General features: G+C 41.1%; 1 protein-coding gene and 2 pseudogenes across 1 annotated transcript in view, besides 3 other annotated features; 1 reads left to right on the forward strand and 2 right to left on the reverse strand.

Moving 5' to 3' along the window:
• B4GALT6 (beta-1,4-galactosyltransferase 6) overlaps positions 1-3,425 on the reverse strand; it is a 102,396-nt gene extending 98,971 nt beyond the window's left edge. The window contains exon 1 of the mRNA XM_005258387.5: positions 3,278-3,425. Within this exon, the coding sequence (XP_005258444.1) occupies positions 3,278-3,356 (79 nt within the window). The 5' untranslated portion in view covers positions 3,357-3,425. The remainder of the gene's footprint in view (positions 1-3,277) is intronic.
• Positions 2,707-3,906: an enhancer, noted in NCBI's record as "BRD4-independent group 4 enhancer chr18:29303886-29305085 (GRCh37/hg19 assembly coordinates)". NCBI's record gives its function as "activates an origin of replication core promoter dependent on BRD2, P300/CBP, MED14 and CDK7 cofactors, and independent of BRD4, by STARR-seq in HCT116 cells {active_cell/tissue: HCT116}" and the evidence as "EXISTENCE:reporter gene assay evidence [ECO:0000049][PMID:35650434]".
• Positions 3,011-4,470, forward strand: LRRC37A7P (leucine rich repeat containing 37 member A7, pseudogene; annotated as a pseudogene).
• Positions 3,136-3,235: an enhancer, noted in NCBI's record as "active region_13206". NCBI's record gives its function as "activates an Ori minimal core promoter by ATAC-STARR-seq in GM12878 lymphoblastoid cells {active_cell/tissue: GM12878}" and the evidence as "EXISTENCE:reporter gene assay evidence [ECO:0000049][PMID:35858748]".
• Positions 3,202-3,701: an enhancer, noted in NCBI's record as "H3K4me1 hESC enhancer chr18:29304381-29304880 (GRCh37/hg19 assembly coordinates)". NCBI's record gives its function as "activates a minimal SCP1, AML or CMV promoter by ChIP-STARR-seq in primed H9 embryonic stem cells {active_cell/tissue: H9 hESC(primed)}" and the evidence as "EXISTENCE:reporter gene assay evidence [ECO:0000049][PMID:30033119]".
• Positions 4,844-5,214, reverse strand: LOC390846 (golgi SNAP receptor complex member 2 pseudogene; annotated as a pseudogene).

Below are 17,041 nucleotides of genomic sequence, written 5' to 3' on the forward strand. Positions count from 1 at the left end.
AGGAGAAATACCTAATATAAATGACGAGTTGATGGGTGAAGCAAGCCAACATGGCACATGTATACCTATGCATCAAACCTGCACGTTGTGCACATGTACCCTAGAACTTAAAGTATAAAAAAAAACCAACAAAAGTGGATGTCAGCAACTTCATGTTAAACATCTGTGTTACATTTCCATAGTAGAATGCCTAACATATACATTATAAACCATCATGAATCAAAACTGTAAAAAATAAAAACTTACAAAAAAAATAATGTGTGTCAACTTGACTAGGCAAGGGTGTGCAGTTGTCTGGTTAAACACTAGTCTAGGCATTGCCATGAAGATATTTTGTAGATGTGGTTAACATCTTTAAGCAGTTGACGCTAAGTAAAGCAGGCTACCCTTGATAATGTCGATAGGTCTTATCCAATCAGTTAAAGGTCTTAAGAACAAAGACGAAGGTTTCCCAGAGTAGAAGGAATTTACCTCCAGGCTGAAACATAGGTGTCTTTCCTGAGTTCCAGCCTGCTAGCCTGCCCTACAAATTTCAGACTCAAGACTACAACAATAACTCTTGCCTGAGTTTCTAACTTGGCATCCTGCCTTACAGATTTCAGATTTATCATCCCTCACAATTGTGTAAGCCAATTCTCTTTCTTTCTCTCTCTCTCTCTCTCTCTGTGTGTGTATGTGTGTGTGTGTGTATGTGTGTATGTGGGTTCTGTTTCTCTGGAGAGCCCTGATTGATACACTTGGCAGTATCTATCAAGTTGCAAACTCACATACCCTTCGAACTAGGAATTCTACACTAGGAATTCCACCCTCAGATGTACTCATGCATAAGTGAAATTATGCATACACAAGATTCTGTAGTACTGAAGAAATAATTAAATGCCCTTTACTGAAGTATTTAAAAATTATGGTATACACATAGCTAGAATAATTTGCAACCATAAACAAAAAAAAGCTTCCTGTATTCTTTTATAGAATCTCATCCAAGATAATATTAAGTGAAACCAAGATACAGAATTGAGTATATGGATACTACCATTCATATAGAAGGAGGAAGGAGCAAGGGTATTGTATACACAACACACACACACATACACACGTATTCTCTGGAAGAATACATAAGGAATTGGTAATATTGGGTAATATTGATTCTGGAGAATAAGAATATATTTTTGTAACTTTAGAGCTTGGTACCATATATCATGAAAACAAATCAATTGTGAGTGGAATTAAAAGGCACACCACATAACATTTATAAGGAAAGGATGCAGAATCCTGGGTGGCTGCTCACATTACAATGAGTCTTCCTCAGTAGTGCTCTCAGGTTTGTGATTGTTCTGCCCCCTAGAGGCGGCTTTGAGAAGTGCTTGAGATGAACGTCTCTGTGACTCCCTCATCAGCAGGCTCAGCTTAGCCTAGGAGCACAGGCCTGAAGTGGGTGCTCACAGGATGGTTTTCCTCTGCCTACTTGCCTTCATTTCATCTGGCAACAGTGGTTCCGGTAATGTTGGCAGTCAGTGGCTATCACGGTGGGAAGAATCAGAACTTGAATAAACCACAGCGCTACTATGATCCCGTTCTTAGTGGCAGAATCACACACAATAAAAGAGAATTTGAGGTCTTCAATCACTAATGAAATACCAAGACCTCTTTATTACTCAATTTGGGTCAAAAAATATCAGCTAGAAAAGGAAGTTGGGAATGATTATTCACGTTTATGAGTGTAGCCTCTGACATATAAATGAATTACATACTAATCATGAGGTTGGATTTTAAATCTTGGCATACTCAAAATGTACAGAAAAGACATGTTTTCACTGCAGGCTGCAGCTGAATAATGAAATATGAAAACTACATTTTTGAACTATTTAATTTTTTGAAATTTAAACATATAATTTAGCAATATAGCATACATATTTCCACCATCACACAATGTTAATGTTTTTCTTATTGGCTTCTAATTTCTTTTTTAATTATTGTTTTATAATAGATCCCTTTTATTGAAAGCTCACTGTTTGCAAAGCAGTCTACATTCATTATCCCATGAAATCCTCAAACAACCCTAAAAGGTAGGTGTCAGTACCACCGCACTTTGTGATTGTACCAGACAATCAGTAATAAGATAGGTAAGAATGGCTATGGGGGAAGTCAGCTGGGTTCTAGTTATAGTCGCATTTCAGAAAATTATTTAACATGCTGACTTTAACAACCTAAGCGTCTTCTCCCTGTGTGCACACAGGGTAGACCTCTGAAGAGTGGCGCTGTAGCTTCTAGGGTAAAGGCTGTGTTAAGTCAAGGCAGGATGACAGTTCAGCTTCCTCCCAGGCTAGTGCAAAGAGCTATTCACTAGGATTAAAGGCCTTCTCTCTCCCAGACTGAATTGCTCACCCCCCAAAACCCCTCCTACAGAAAATTTGGAGTCCTCGTTTATTCCCCGGCAGCCCCTGCCTAATAGGGTGGTGAATTAATTACCAAACATGCAACAAAGGATATCAAAGGTTTGGCGAAAATGGCAACATTTTGGAATAAATGACCGTAATGTGTGCTCTGCCTGCCACCCTAACTGGCGCACATTTTGCAGGTCAGTTGCTTTCCCTATGGCCAAGAGGAGGAAAAGCATCTCTCGGATTTCAGCTTGGAGGAGGAAGAGTTCAGGCTGCCAGAACTGGACTGGCACTTCTGAATATCCCGAGGCAAGGTCCCATAACTTCCTTGGGAAGCTCTGCCGCACCTCCAACCCACCCCACCCCACCCCACCCCACCAGGCTGCTGGAGTCTTGGGACCGCAGACCCCGCGGCCCAAATTCTTCCTCGCAGAGGGGAGGGGAGGGGTGTTCCGGCCGGGCAGGGCGGAAGGGAGGTTTGGGCTGGATTGTGGGATAAGATTGCCCTGGTGACGCGGAGCGGATCTGGACCCGAGCCTAATAAAGGCTGCGTAAATAAAGGTGTAGTTAATAAAGGACGGGATGGGGCGCGCGGTTGCCAGGGGCGCCAGCGTCTCGGGGCTGCCCTAATGGCTCCTGCTCAGTGCGCGGCGCCAGCGCTTGTCTTGTCCCGGCTGCGTCTCTGGGCCCCACGGGCCCCTCCTCACATGGCAACTATTGTGGCTACTAGTCCAGGCGGCTTAGCCTCTGGAGTGGGTCCAGGACCCGCTCCAGCTGACCTCTGACTCCCTGGGGCCAACTTAGCCCTGGTCTTCCCGCTCCTCCGATCTCCCACGCGAATCGCCGCCATGAGCTAACTCCCCACCCCCGGGCAGACCCGGGAGAGCTTTGATTACCTGGGGTCTTCTGCTTCCTCCCAGACGTCAGCTCCGCTTCAGGAATCGACTGAGACTTTGGCTCAGAGTTTGGTTCCATTCTTGGACACGGATTCAGCTGGAGAGCTGCCCCGGGGCCAGAGCAGTTCGCTGCTGCACACTGGGATCTGAATGACAAGCTGACTCGGCACAGAAGTCTCCCAGAGGTGGTTGCAATGCTAGACTGGGATCAGAACCAGGCCCTAGCTCGGCCTCTTTGCCTCAAAAGTAAGTTTCTAACTGTAGATCTAGATCAGGCTGCAGATCATCAGGCATATGAAATACTTGTTCCACCTCTAGATAGAAATCAAAAGCAAGGAACTTTACTGTTTCGCCCAAGAACCGGAAGAAAGATCTAGCTCAGCATCAAAGGCTTGCCAAGGTTGTTGTTGGAACTCCATACCGATTTGTATCAAAACCTCAGCGTCAGAAACAAACTCTGCAGAATGGGTATTTAGATTCAAGTATGGATATACTGTATCTGGGCAGCCTGCCTCCAGAACTCCAGGTGAGCTCAGATGAGCCTCCAGGGCCTCCTGAGCAAGCTGGACTTTCTCAGTTCCATCTAGAGCCTGAAACTCAAAATCCAGAAACCACTGAAGAGATCCAGTCCTCTACTCCAGCAAGAAGCTGCAGCGCAGCTTCCACAGCTCCCTGAGGTGGTAGAACTTTCTTCAACCAAAGCTGGAGGCCCCAGCTCTGCCTTCACAGTCCCTTGAGGGGGTCCACTCTTCAACAGAGCAGAAGGCTCCAGCACAGCAGCTACCTGCCTTTGAAGAGATCCTAGCCCCACTATTGATACATCATGAGGTAAATGTTCCATTGAAAAGTTGGAGTGAAGTTCAGCACTCACACTTGCCCAGTGTCACAATCAAACCTGTGGACGTGGAGCTTACGGTAACTCCAGAGCCAGGTAAGAAACTTACAACAAGCCAGGAACAGGCCCCAGCTCAGCCTCCAGAACACTCCAAAGAGGTGGGCTCTTCCTCAACCCAATTATAGCCCCCAGCTCAGACTCCAGACCCCCCTAAGGAGGTAGAACCTTCTCCAGTCCAGCAGAGTTCCCAGATGAGCCACCAGAGCCCCCTAAGGAGGTTGAACCATCTGCAACCCAGCAGGAAGCCTCAGGTCATCCTCCGAAGTCCACTGAAGAGGTCAGTCCTCCACTGCAGCAGGAGATACCAGCTCAGCCATCAGAGCCACCTGAGAAGGTCAAACCATCTCCAGTCATAAAGCAGCCCCCAACTCAGCTTTTAGAGCCACATTCAAAGTAATTAACTGGTATTATCTGTCCAAGAGATTGGATGGATAGGAAGTTAAACTTCTGGGAGATGCCTCATTATTTGTACCAGTGGCTCCACATTATTTCTTGATTAATTGTGCAGACTGAGAAGCTGACAGCTAGTTTTTCCAATTCAAGAGTCATCATGGGGATGTTCTCAATTGTTGTTAGTGGGACTTGTGTTGTTTCCATGTCGAGATATTGTAATGCCGGTAATTTAAACAGATAATAATCTCCAATAGTTGTCAGAGGATTGTGATTGAGAATTGTTAGTGGTGAAGGTTCGAGATAGAAGCTCTTCTTGCTGTCCCTCCTGCTGCTCCCTTGCATAGCACCAGTGCTGGAAGTTTCTGAGAGCAGTCTGCAGGTGCTGAACATCATACTTAAACTGGTCAACCCGAAGTTTGGCATTCTGCCTTTTATTAGGGGGCTCCTTGCTGGACAAAATCTCCCGATGTTCTAGATGGCTGAATATCTGGTCTGTGCTTGCTTGGATTTCACCTTCTACTAAGTGCACAGACTGCTTGTCTGCCGTCTCCAGGTGTCCCATGTGAGAATGTATCTCATGGACCTGCTTGTGCGTTTGCTGGTTCAGGGGCTCCATGTCACCGGCCCAGCTGGCCCCAACTCCAGCTCTGGCTTCCTTGGAATATGTCCTCGCAGCCCTGCTTCTAATTTATTTTTTTTAATTAAGATGCATTGGTTTTTTGCTGATCAAAAATTCTGACATATGGCCGGGCGTGGTGGCTCACGCCTGTAATCCCAGCACTTTGGGAGGCCGAGATGGGCGGATCACGAGGTCAGGAGATTGAGACCATCCTGGCTAACACGGTGAAACCCCATCTCTACTAAAAATACAAAAAATCAGCCGGGCATGTTGGCGGGCGTCTGTAGTCCCAGCTACTCGGGAGGCTGAGGCAGGAGAATGGCGTGAACCCGGGAGGCGGAGGTTGCAGTGAGCGAGATCGCACCACTGCACTCCAGCCTGGGCGACAGAGCGAGACTCCGTCTCAAAAAAAAAAAAAAAAAAAATTCTGACATATTACTGACAATTTCAAAAACAGGAAAAGTCTGACAGTATTAGTAGGGTTGACTAAAACAATATGAAATTGACTAAAATAAGTGGACTGTTTTGCAATTAAAAAATTTTAAGTCAATGCAAATATTTATAACTTTTAAGTCTCCTCTAAAAGATAACCAAAGAGCTTATTTAATCCTGTTTTAAATGATGTTAAATTCTTTGCAGATTATTACATAGGATATATTTTAGTAATGATTTAAAGGAGGAAGAAGCAGCCTATTTTATGTTCATTGTAAGTGTTTCTAATAATCATCATTGAATGGTATTAAGTAGCCAGGAGCAGAGATATTGGGGTTATGGTGCTCTGTAAATCAAGTTAATGACATGCCCTTTGATTTTCCAGAACATAAACTCTCATTGCTAATACCCTTCCCTCTGACCATTGTTGTTCATCAAAGTTCTTTCCTAGATGTTGTGTCCTCTACAAACTGTCAGTGATGGTTGTTGCATTCCCCTGGTTCAGTGGTCACTTGCATGCTGGTGACACTGGACTCCAGGCTTGCTGGAGCTTCCAATATGGGTATCCCTGGGAGTATCAAACTCAATGTGTCTCTGCACTCCAGCCTCGGCTACAGGCTGGAATTTTGTCTCTAAAAAACAGAACAAAACAACAAACTCCATGTGTCTAAAAGTGAAATCACTGTCATTCCCCCAAAATTGTTCCTTCATTCACTATCACCCACTTAGTCAACCAGGCACTGGGTTCTATGCTATTCTCCTTCCTTGCCTTCATGTCAAATTCTTCAATCCTGTCCAATTTTTCTACCTAAAATGTCAAATTATCCTGTCCTAGATCGGACCCTAGACACCTCTTACCTGCACTATTTCAATCATTTCCTGATTTCTTAACTCTTCTTCCTGTCTCCAGTCTTTCCTCCCTCTGCATTCATCCACAACGTAACCAGAAGGATGGATCCAAAACGCAGTTCTGGAGACAAACTATCACTTCTGGTCACACAACTTGGTATATGAAAAAGCATGAAGCCAAATAACCCTACTATATCTTCTGATTTATTAAATATACGTGTATTTCAATATATGGAGAAGTTTGTAACATATAAGCAGAAGTTTCTAAGACAGTTTTCTACATACCATTACCTGATGCATAAATGTCTCTCACCCGGACAGAGATGTCTTATTCAGGAGTTCACCTCCACATTGAACAACTCCAGACACACTGAATTCTGAGGGGTGCCCCTCTAATAAGAACAGTTCCCCTTAGAATTGGCAGCAGAGCAGTACTGCCCGGAGGCCCCCTCTCTTCTGTGCCAGAATTGCGCCTTTGCATCATGTTTACTTTCCTTTTCCTTCCACTGCTGAGAACAGTGGGGCTCTCTGCCCGCTCATGATATTCTGGGGACTCTTGTGTGATTCCCTACTACCACTTAGGTCACCAGGATCCACCAGGACCCTCTTTAACTGCACAGGGCTCCCTCGGATGCCACAAGAACTCTAGGAACCTCACTGCTGCTGTGGAGACCCTATAAAAACAGCAGAACCAGAGTGGGCTGTATAAGGAGCTGTGATTTGGCCCCACTTAGTGGAACCCAGAATTAATTTCCTCCCAGAAATAATGCGGTCATTCTGGTTATGGTTTGTACTACTGCTACTACCATCATTAAATTCAGAGGTGCTGGCGGGGCGCAATGGCTCACATCTATAATCCCAGCACTTTGGGAGGCTGAGGCAGGTGGATCACCCAACGTCAGGAGTTCGAGACCAGCCTGGCCAACATGGTGAAACCCTGTCTCTACTAAAAAATACAAAAATTAGCCGGGCATGGTGGTGCATGCCTGTAGTCCCAGCTACTCGGGAGGCTGAGGCAGGAGAATTGCTTGAACCCAAAAGGCAGAGGTTGCAGTGAGCCAAGATCGTGCCATTGCATTCCAGCCTGGGCGACAAGAGTAAGACTCCATCTCAAATAAATAAATAAATAAATAAATTCAGAGGTGCTAAATAGGACTTTGGGTTCATTCTAAAAAATTAAACTACTACAGAAGCACTATGGGCTGTAGGAAAATGTGCGCTGAACTGACTTACCAGGGACCATTTGGAGTGTAGTCGACCAATATTTGAGCCCAAATAAATGAATCTTAGAATCAGGTTAATGTTAACTTGATTTTTTTAAAAGTCCACTGGAGGCACTATAATACATGAACTATAATATCCATCTTTTTTTGCATTATTCATTTTATTTTACTTTATTTCTTAAGTTCAGGGGTACAAGTTCAGGTGTGTTACATAGGTAAACTTGTGTCATGGGGGTTTGCTGTACAGATTATTTCATCACCCAGGTATTAAGCCTAGTACCCATTGGTTGTTTTTCCTGTTCCTCTCCCTCCTTTCACCCTCCTACCTCCAATAGGCCCTACCCATCTATGTGACCATGAGTTCTTATCATTTAATTCCCACTTCTAAGTGAGAACATGTGGTATTTGGTTTTCTGTTCCTGCATTAGTTTGCTAAGGATAATGGCCTCCAGCTCCATTCATGTCCCTGCAAAGGACATGATCTTGTTCTTTTTTATGGCTGCATAGTATTCCATGGTGTATATGTACCACATTTTCTTTGTCCAGTCTATCACTGATGGACATTTAGGTTGATTCCGTGTCTTTGCTATATAATATCCATCCTTACCAGTACATGTATTCTCAGATGTTTTCTCTAGCACTGTAAAGCAATGGACATGGCTTGCTTGTGTAGGTCATCGTATTCATGTCATAGGGCACACCCTGAGATGGAATTTCCAATATTTTGAGGGAGTAGCATAAATAAAGCTGACTATCTGAAGTCATTTTGTAATGTTATTCCTCTTGCACCTTTACTCCAGCCTCACTGGCTTTCTTGCCATTGCTCAGACACACCAAGGTCATGCCCAGCTTAGTGTATTCCTATTGTTTGGCATGCACATCTCAAGATTTTGCTTGACTCTCCCATAGCTGCTTTTGTTCTGTTTGCAGAAAAACCACAGCTGAGTGCCCAATTTAAAATAGCCTCCTCCTGCCCAACTCATCTAATCCCTTTGTTCTGCTATATTTTTCTTTAAAACATATATTTATTGTAAATATATAGGTTATTTGTTTTCTGCTCCTTCAACTGTTATGTAAGACCTATGAGGATAAAGAATTTCTCCACCTCCTTCACTGCTGAAAGTGTCCAGCATGGCATATAGTAGACATGCCATGTATATATATTTTGAAGGAATGAATGAATAAATTAGTCAGTCTTAATATTTCATCTTCTCTCTTTTCTCGGTCAGAATTGTTACAATTCATCTCTTCCAAGTGCAGTGCAGTGCAAAGAACAGTGCAGTGGTTAGAACAGACCTCTAAATTTGGCTAGAATTCTGGCCTCAGCACTTACTAGCTTTATGGTTTTGGACAAACTATCTCACCTCTCTAAGTCTCCATTCCTCTTCTATTGTATAGAGATAACCAAAGAATTTTCCTCCCAGGATGTGATCATTTTTAAATGAATTCATACATATAAAGCTCCCAACGTGGTGCCTGCATATTGTTTAAGTATTATTAAACTCATGGTTTCATTGGTTCTAGTGTATCTTCGTGTGTGTGTGTGTGTGTGTGTGTGCGTGCGCACTCACACACACAGTAGTTTGCTCCTTAAATAATACATTTCTACCTATCTTTTAAAATATACTTGTTAGTATGTTGGGGTGGTTGTTAATATTCTAGATTCTATATTCATAGGTAGCCATTTGCTTTACATTTTCAGCTTCATCCTCTGAATGCTAGTCTTGCTCAAATGTCTCATTATTTTCCATTTATTGCCTATTTTAATAAATAAAAGATCAGACATTTTCCCAAGTGTGGTTGGTAGAATATCAGTTGCTTTTTTTAAAAGAGGGGGAAAAAAACATTCCTAGGGCCTCACTATTGAACAAGAGCCTCCTGGGGTGGGGTTCAGGAGCATGCATTTTAAACAATGTCTAGAGGAGTCTTATATGCCCTAGAATTTAAGGAGCACCAAAGGAGGCTTCTGGGTATTGGCTGCTGGTGCAGATTTGCTCAGCTTCTGTAGGTTAGTGCACTACCGAATGAAGCCCTACTCTCTCCTCCTCCTCATGCCATCTTTCCTCTGCAGAGGGCTGCCTGCAAGAGTTATCTGTGCTGTTTGCACGAGGTGAGCCCAGAGGACCATGCCACAACCTGCTTCACTATATGTTGGCCTTGATTGGTGTTCCTGAAGTCTTTTGGGCATTTCTCTTCCACTGCTCCCTTGGTTTAGAGGAGGAAAAACTGGCTCCTTTGATTAAAGGAGAAGAAAAAATTGTTTGGCTGAGGAGCTCCTTTTACTTCCAACACTGTTTGGTGGATAAATCTACCCTCCTACCCTCCAGCTCTGTCAGTCTTGGCATCTTCCATGAAGAAAAAAACTCCGGGGAATTTCCTATCTTTGCCAAAGCTGTGCGTCTAGCCCTTGTGCCTCTTAGGTGAGAGGAATTAGCAGGAGACCTCAGTATTACCCCCACTTGCCTCCTACCACCCAGCAATGTACTCAACATCTGTCCGGCTGTCAGTTGACTGCTGAAGTCTTTCATTTTTGTTCAAATTGTGCTTTACTCCTTGTGGTTTATTGTCTACTCTTCAGCACTTTGTTGGCTTCATCCCAGGTATAATTTTCTCCTTTGTTATTGCTTCTTTGGAGAATTTTCAGTGACTATAGGGAAAATATTTATTTGATCTCTGTTAACACTACCATCTTTCTCCAGACAGCAGTTTTTAGAAGATAAATCTCCTGATGGAATCATTTCATTGCTGTTTATTTATTCTTATCTCAAAGAACTAGTTACTGACCAAAAGAGGAAAGAGCTATGCAGCCTCCATTGCAGTCTCCAGAGACCTTAGGAGTCTCTGGAAGGAGTTGTTGCTGCCTGGAGGGAGCAGGAGGCCTCAGGTCAGAAGGCATGCTGCAGACCACCCGTGAGTGATTCACGTCCAAAAAAGTTCCTATCTCCAACCCTGAAACCTGAAACTGAAGGGCTTTTGCCTGCAAAGACCATCTGAGAGCAGCCCTGCTGGTTAGTGAAAGGTTTTGGGACAGGCAGATTTAGAGCTGTTAGTAAATTTGGGAGAGTCTTAGACTCCGGCCAATATTGACATCAGGTAGTCTTATTCATAATGTAATTATTACCCTTTTGAGAAATAAAAAAATCTTGAGACAAATGAAAATGGAAACACAACATACCAAAATTTAAGGGATACAGCAAAAGCAGTTCTAAGAAGGAAGTTTATAGCAAATAAAAGCCTACATTAAGAAGAAATAAGATCGCAGATAAAAAACCTAACTTTATACCTCAAAGAACTAGAAAAAAAGAAAAGACTAATCCCAAAGTCAGCAGAAGGAAGGAAATAATATCAAAGCAGAAATAAATGAAAGACGGAGTAGAAAAACAATAGAAAAGATCAATGAAACTAGGAGTTAATTTTTTAAAAAAGATAAGCACAATGGACAAACTTTCAGCTAGACTAAGAAAAAAGAGAGAAGGTGCAAATAAATAAAATTATAAATGGAAGAAGATACATTACAACTGATATCACAGAAATAAAAAAGGATCATAAAGACCAGGCACAGTGGCTCACTTTGGTAATCTCAGCACTTTGGGAGGCCAAGGTGGGCAGATCGCTTGAACTCAGGAGTTCGAGACCAGCCTGGGCAACATGGCAAAACCTCATCTCTACAAAAACTATAAAAAAATTAGTCGGGCATGGTGGTGCTCCCCTGTGGTCCCAGCTACTCGGGAGGCTGAAGTGGGAGGATCACTTGAGCCCAGGAGGTGGAGGTTGCAGTGAGCTGAGATCACACCACTGCACTCTAGCCCCTGTGCCAAAAAGAAAAAAAAAGAAAAAAAAAGGATCATAAGTGACGATTGTCAACAATTATATGCCAACAAGTTGGATAACCTAGAAGAAATGGATAGATTCCTAGAAACATAAAACCTAGCAAGTCTGAATCATGAAGAAACAGAAAATCTGAACAGATCTATAATGAGCTAAGAAATTGAATCAGTAATCAAAAACTTCTCAACAAAGACAAGCCCAGGACCCAACAGCTTCACTGGTGAATTCTACCAAATATTTAAGGAAGAATTAATGCTAATCCTTCTCCAACTCTTCCAGAAAATTGAAGGAAAGAGAAAACTTCCAAACTCACTTTAGGAGGCCATTATTACTCTGATGCCAAAGCCAATAAAGACACTGCAAAAAAAATTACAGACCAATATCCCTGATAAACATAGATATAAAAATCCTCAACAAAATACTAACCAAATTCAACAGCATATTAAAAGAATCATATGCCATAATCAAGTGAGATTTATCCCAGAGAAAGGGTGGTTCAACATATGCAAATATGTAAGATCACATGAACAGAATAAAGAAAAAAATTATACGACCATTTCAAAGATATATAAAAAGCATTTGACAAAGTTTAATATCCTTTCATAATAAAAACTCTCAACAGATCAAGTATAAAGGAATATACCTCAACATAATCAAGGCCATATATGACAAGCCCACAGCTAATATCCTCCTTAATGGTGAAAACCTGAAAGCTTTTCTTCTAAGATTAGGAACCCGGCAAGAATGTCCACTGTTACCACTTCTGTTTAATATAGTACTGGGAGTCCCGGCAAGAACAATTAGGCAAGAAAAAGAAATAAAAGGAATCCAAGTTGGAAAAAAAAGAAGTAAAATTATCTCTATTTATAGATGATACGATCACATATACAGAAAATCCTAAAGACTCCACCAAAAAAACCTGTTAAAATAGACAAATTTAGTATAGTTAAAGGATACAAAATCAACATAGAAAAATCAGCAGTATTCCTATATACTAACAACAGACTATCCAAAAAAGAGATCAAGAAAACAATCCCATTTACAGTATATCCAAAAAAAAAAAATACTTGGGAGTAAATTTAACCAAGGAGATGAAAGACCTGTACACTGAAAACTATAAAACACTGATGAAAGGATGAAGAAGACACAAATAAATGGAAAGATATCCCCATGTACATGAATTGGAAGAATTAATATTGCTAAAATGATCATTGGCACCAAAACAATCTACAGATTCAATGCAATGCCTATCAAAATTCCATGACATTTTTCCCAGAAATAGAAAGAGAATCCTATGAAACCACAAAAGACTCCAAATAGTCAAAGAAATGTTGAGCAAAAGGAAGAAAGCTGGAGGTCTCATACTACCTGATTTCAAATTATACTACAAAGCTATAGTAATCAAAACAGCGTAGTACTGGCATAAAAACAAATGCATAGACTAAAGGAATATAATAGAGACCCCAGAAATAAGTTTATGCATTTATGTTCAGTTGATCTTCAACAAAGGTACCAAGAACATACAACGTTCAAGAAAGCACAGTCTCTTCAATAATTGGTACTGGGAAAACTGGATGTCCACATGCAAAAGAAGGAACTTAGACCCTTGTCTCACCCATAAAGAAAAATCAACTCAAAATGAAATAAAGACTTAAATGTAAGTCCTGAAATTATAAAACTACTCAAAGAAAACATAAGGGAAAAGCTCCAAGACATTGGTCTGGGAGATGATATTTTGGTCATATATGACCCTTGATACACAGGCAACATAGTGAAAAGAGAGAAATGGGATTGCATCAAAATTAAAAGCTTCTGTACAGAATAGGAAACAATCAACAGAGTGAAAAGGCAACCTACCAAAGGGGAGGAAATATTTACAAACTGCATACCTGACAAGAGGTTAATATCCAAAATATATAAGGAACTGAAACAACTCAATATTAAAAAGATAAATAATTCAATTTTAAAACAGGCAAAATACCTGAATAGATATTTCTCAAAAGAAGACATTTACAAGTGGCCAACAGGTATATGAAAAAATGTTCAACATCACTAATGATCACAGAAATGTAAATTAAAACCACAAAGAGATATCACCTCACACTGGTTAGTATAGCTATCATCAAAAAGACAAAAAATAGTAAGTGTGGGTAAGGGTGTGCAGAAGACAGGACCCATGCACACTGTTGGTGGGACTGTAACTTGGCACAGCCATTATGGAAGACAGTATGGAGCTTCCTCAAAAAAGTAAAAATAGAACTACCATATGATCCAGCAATTCCATTTCTGGGTATATATTCAAAGTAAATGAAATCATTATGTCAAAGAGATATCTTCATTCCCATGTTCATTGGAGCATTATTCATGATAGCCAAGATATGGAATCAACCTAAGTGTCTGTCAAGAGATAAATGGATAAAGAAAACGGGATATATCTATGCAATGGAATACCATTCAGCCTTAAAAAAGAAGGAATTCCTGGCTGGGTGCGGTGGCTCACGTCTGTAATCCCAGCACTTTGGGAGGCCGAGGTGGGCGGATCATGAGGTCAGGAGACAGAGACCACCGGGTGAAACCCTATCTCTACTAAAAATACCAAAAATTAGCTGGGCGTGGTGGCAGGCGCCTGTAGTCCCAGCTACTTAGGAGGCTGAGGCAGGAGAATGGCATGAACCCAGGAGGCAGAGCTTGCAGTCAGCGGAGATCATGCCACTGCACTCCAGCCGGGGCGACAGAGCGAGACTCCGTCTCAAAAAAAAAAAAAAAAAAAAAAAAAAGGCAAAAAGAAGGAATTCCTGTTATTTGCAGCAACACGGATGAACCTGGAGGACATTATGCTGAGTCAAATAGGCCAGGCACAGAAAGACAAATACTGCATAATTTAACTTATATGTAGAATATAAGAAAGTTGAAATCATAGAAGTGGAGAGTAGAATGTTGGTGGCCAGATGCTGGGGCAGAGTGGGGCTGGGATGGGAATGAGGAAATGTTGGTCAAAGAGTACGAATTTTCAGTTAGACAGAGGGATGAAGTTCTGGGGATCTCTTGTACAGCATGGTGACTATAGTTAATAATAATGTATTGTCTACTTGAAAATTGCTAAGAGAATAGATTTTATAATGTTCTCACCACAAACTAAGTATGTGAAGTGATAGATATGTTAATTAGCTTGGTTTAATGGTGTCACAGTGTATACATATATCAAAATATCACATTGTATACCTTGAATATATATAACTTTATTTGTCAACTATATCTTAATGAAGCTGGGGAAAAAATCAATAAAAAGTAAACACACACACACAGGACAACTGAAGATCACTTTTTATTTTGTAGAGACAGAGTCTGGTTGTGTTGCCCAGGTTGGTTTCAATCTCCTGGCCTAAGTGATCTTCCTGCCTTGGCCTCCCAGAGTGCTGAGATTACAGGTGTGTGCCACCATGCCCAGCGGAATATCACTTTTACTTAGGAATATAGGTCAGAAATATTTTTTTAACCAGCAAATCAAATCAAACAATATATTAAATAATCAATTTAACAAAATAGGATTTAATTTAGGAATTCAAGAATAGTTCGAGCACTGGAAGAACATGATTTAATATTTTAAGAAATGGAAAGAGAATAAAAACATGATCATAATAACTGAAGCTACAAATTCAACCAGACACTTTTGCATTCTTTAAAACTCATTTAAGATAAAGAGAAGCTTCCAAACATGTTGAAGTTTATTTCCTACAAATCAATCATAAACATTTCAAATAAACACAAATTATTTTCATTAAAATAGAAAAAAGAAGAATGCTGTCTACTACCCCTAATGGTCAACAGTCATTGCAGGGAGTATAACAGATAATGTGGTAAAGTAAGAGAAATAAATATGTAGTTTAACTATGGGGAAAAGCCTGTTTGATATCCTTTTCTATTTTGATTATAAATGTGCTTAGGTTCTTCAAAAGACGTGATCTGAGAGTAGCACATATTAAGGTCATGTCTTATTACTACAGGCTGTTCCAGAAAGGCCATGGGGCTTTCTCTGTTTATGGGAACAGCTGAATATGATCAAAACTGGATGGGCCAAGTGCATAGGGCCTGTGCTGCCAAGACATGCCTTCAAAAATAGGAAGTGAAAATCCAGTCCCATGCTTACGTATCAAATATAGCATTGGCCCTCAAGTTCAAACTGCTAGAGTATACTCAAATTGCTTCATTCAGCTAATTTTGGGAGTATACTAATGACCAAAGGACACTTTACTATAAAGTGACATTTGTTAATAGAGTTCCAGACTCCAAAATGCAGTTTCCAGGATACTTGTTAACAGAACATAGGGTAACCTAATAATTCTACCACTTAGTCACAAACCTATTTAATCCAACATTTTTTCGAATTCATTTACTTAAGAAATTAGATCATTCATTACAATTAATTTGGCAAGCAAAGACAGCCAGCTGCTCAAGTGAGATCCCAAATTTTCTAACAAATTGAATAAACACTAATTTGTTTATTTGTTGATATGATTATGGAATTAGCAAAATGGCCTATTCCTCAGCATGAAAAATTCAGGTCCAAATTGTTTCATTGAGGCTTATTTCTGTTACAAGTTAAATGAAAAAGAGAATCTATTATTCACAAATTTTTTAAAAAAATCATTATTAAAAATAAAGACCATCTGAGCATAGTTTGAAACTTCTAACTGCAGGTTTTCACCTCCATGTGGTCTTCACTTTTTCTCTAACGTGGAGCCCACAGCATACTTTAAATGGCACTCATCCTTCTGAGACCTCTAGTCTCAAAGTGCCTTCCCCATATTATAAGAGTATTATTTATTTATTTATTTATTTTATTTAAAGAGACAGAGTCTTGCTCTGTTGCCCAGGCTGGAGTATAGTAGTGCAATCATAGCTCACTGCAGCCTCAAACACCAGGGCTCAAGTGATCCTCCTGCCTCAGCTTCCCGAGTAGCTAAGACTATAGGCATGCACCACCATGCTCAGCTAAGTATTTTATTTTTTGTAGAGATGGGGTCTTCCTATGTTGCCCAGGCTGGTCTCAAATTCCTAGGCTCAAGAGATCCTCCCACCTAGGCCTCCCAAAGCGCTGGGATTACAGGCATGAGCCACCACACCCAGCCAGAATCTTATTTTTATTTATGTATTTATTAATTTATTTTGAGACAGAGTTTCACTCTGTTGCCCAGGCTGGAGTGCAGTGGCGCAATCTCAGCTCACTGCAACCTCTGCCTCCCGGGTTCAAGTGATTCTCCTTCCTCAGCCTCCCAAGTAGCTGGGATTATAGGCACACACCACCATACCTGGCTAATTTTTGCATTTTTAGTGGAGATGGGGTTTCACCATGTTGTCCAGGCTGGTCTCAAACTCCTGGCCTCAGATGATCCACTGCCTCGGCCTCCCAAAGTGCTGGGATTACAGACGTGAGCCACCTCACCCAGCCTCTATTTTTAATAGGATAAATTTTCATGAAGACCTTATACTGTATACCCTTTATACACATTTCCACTATTTGCTAT

The sequence above is a fragment of the Homo sapiens genome, chromosome 18 (assembly GCF_000001405.40).
Source record: "Homo sapiens chromosome 18, GRCh38.p14 Primary Assembly".
In the NCBI taxonomy this organism is placed as follows: domain Eukaryota; kingdom Metazoa; phylum Chordata; class Mammalia; order Primates; family Hominidae; genus Homo; species Homo sapiens.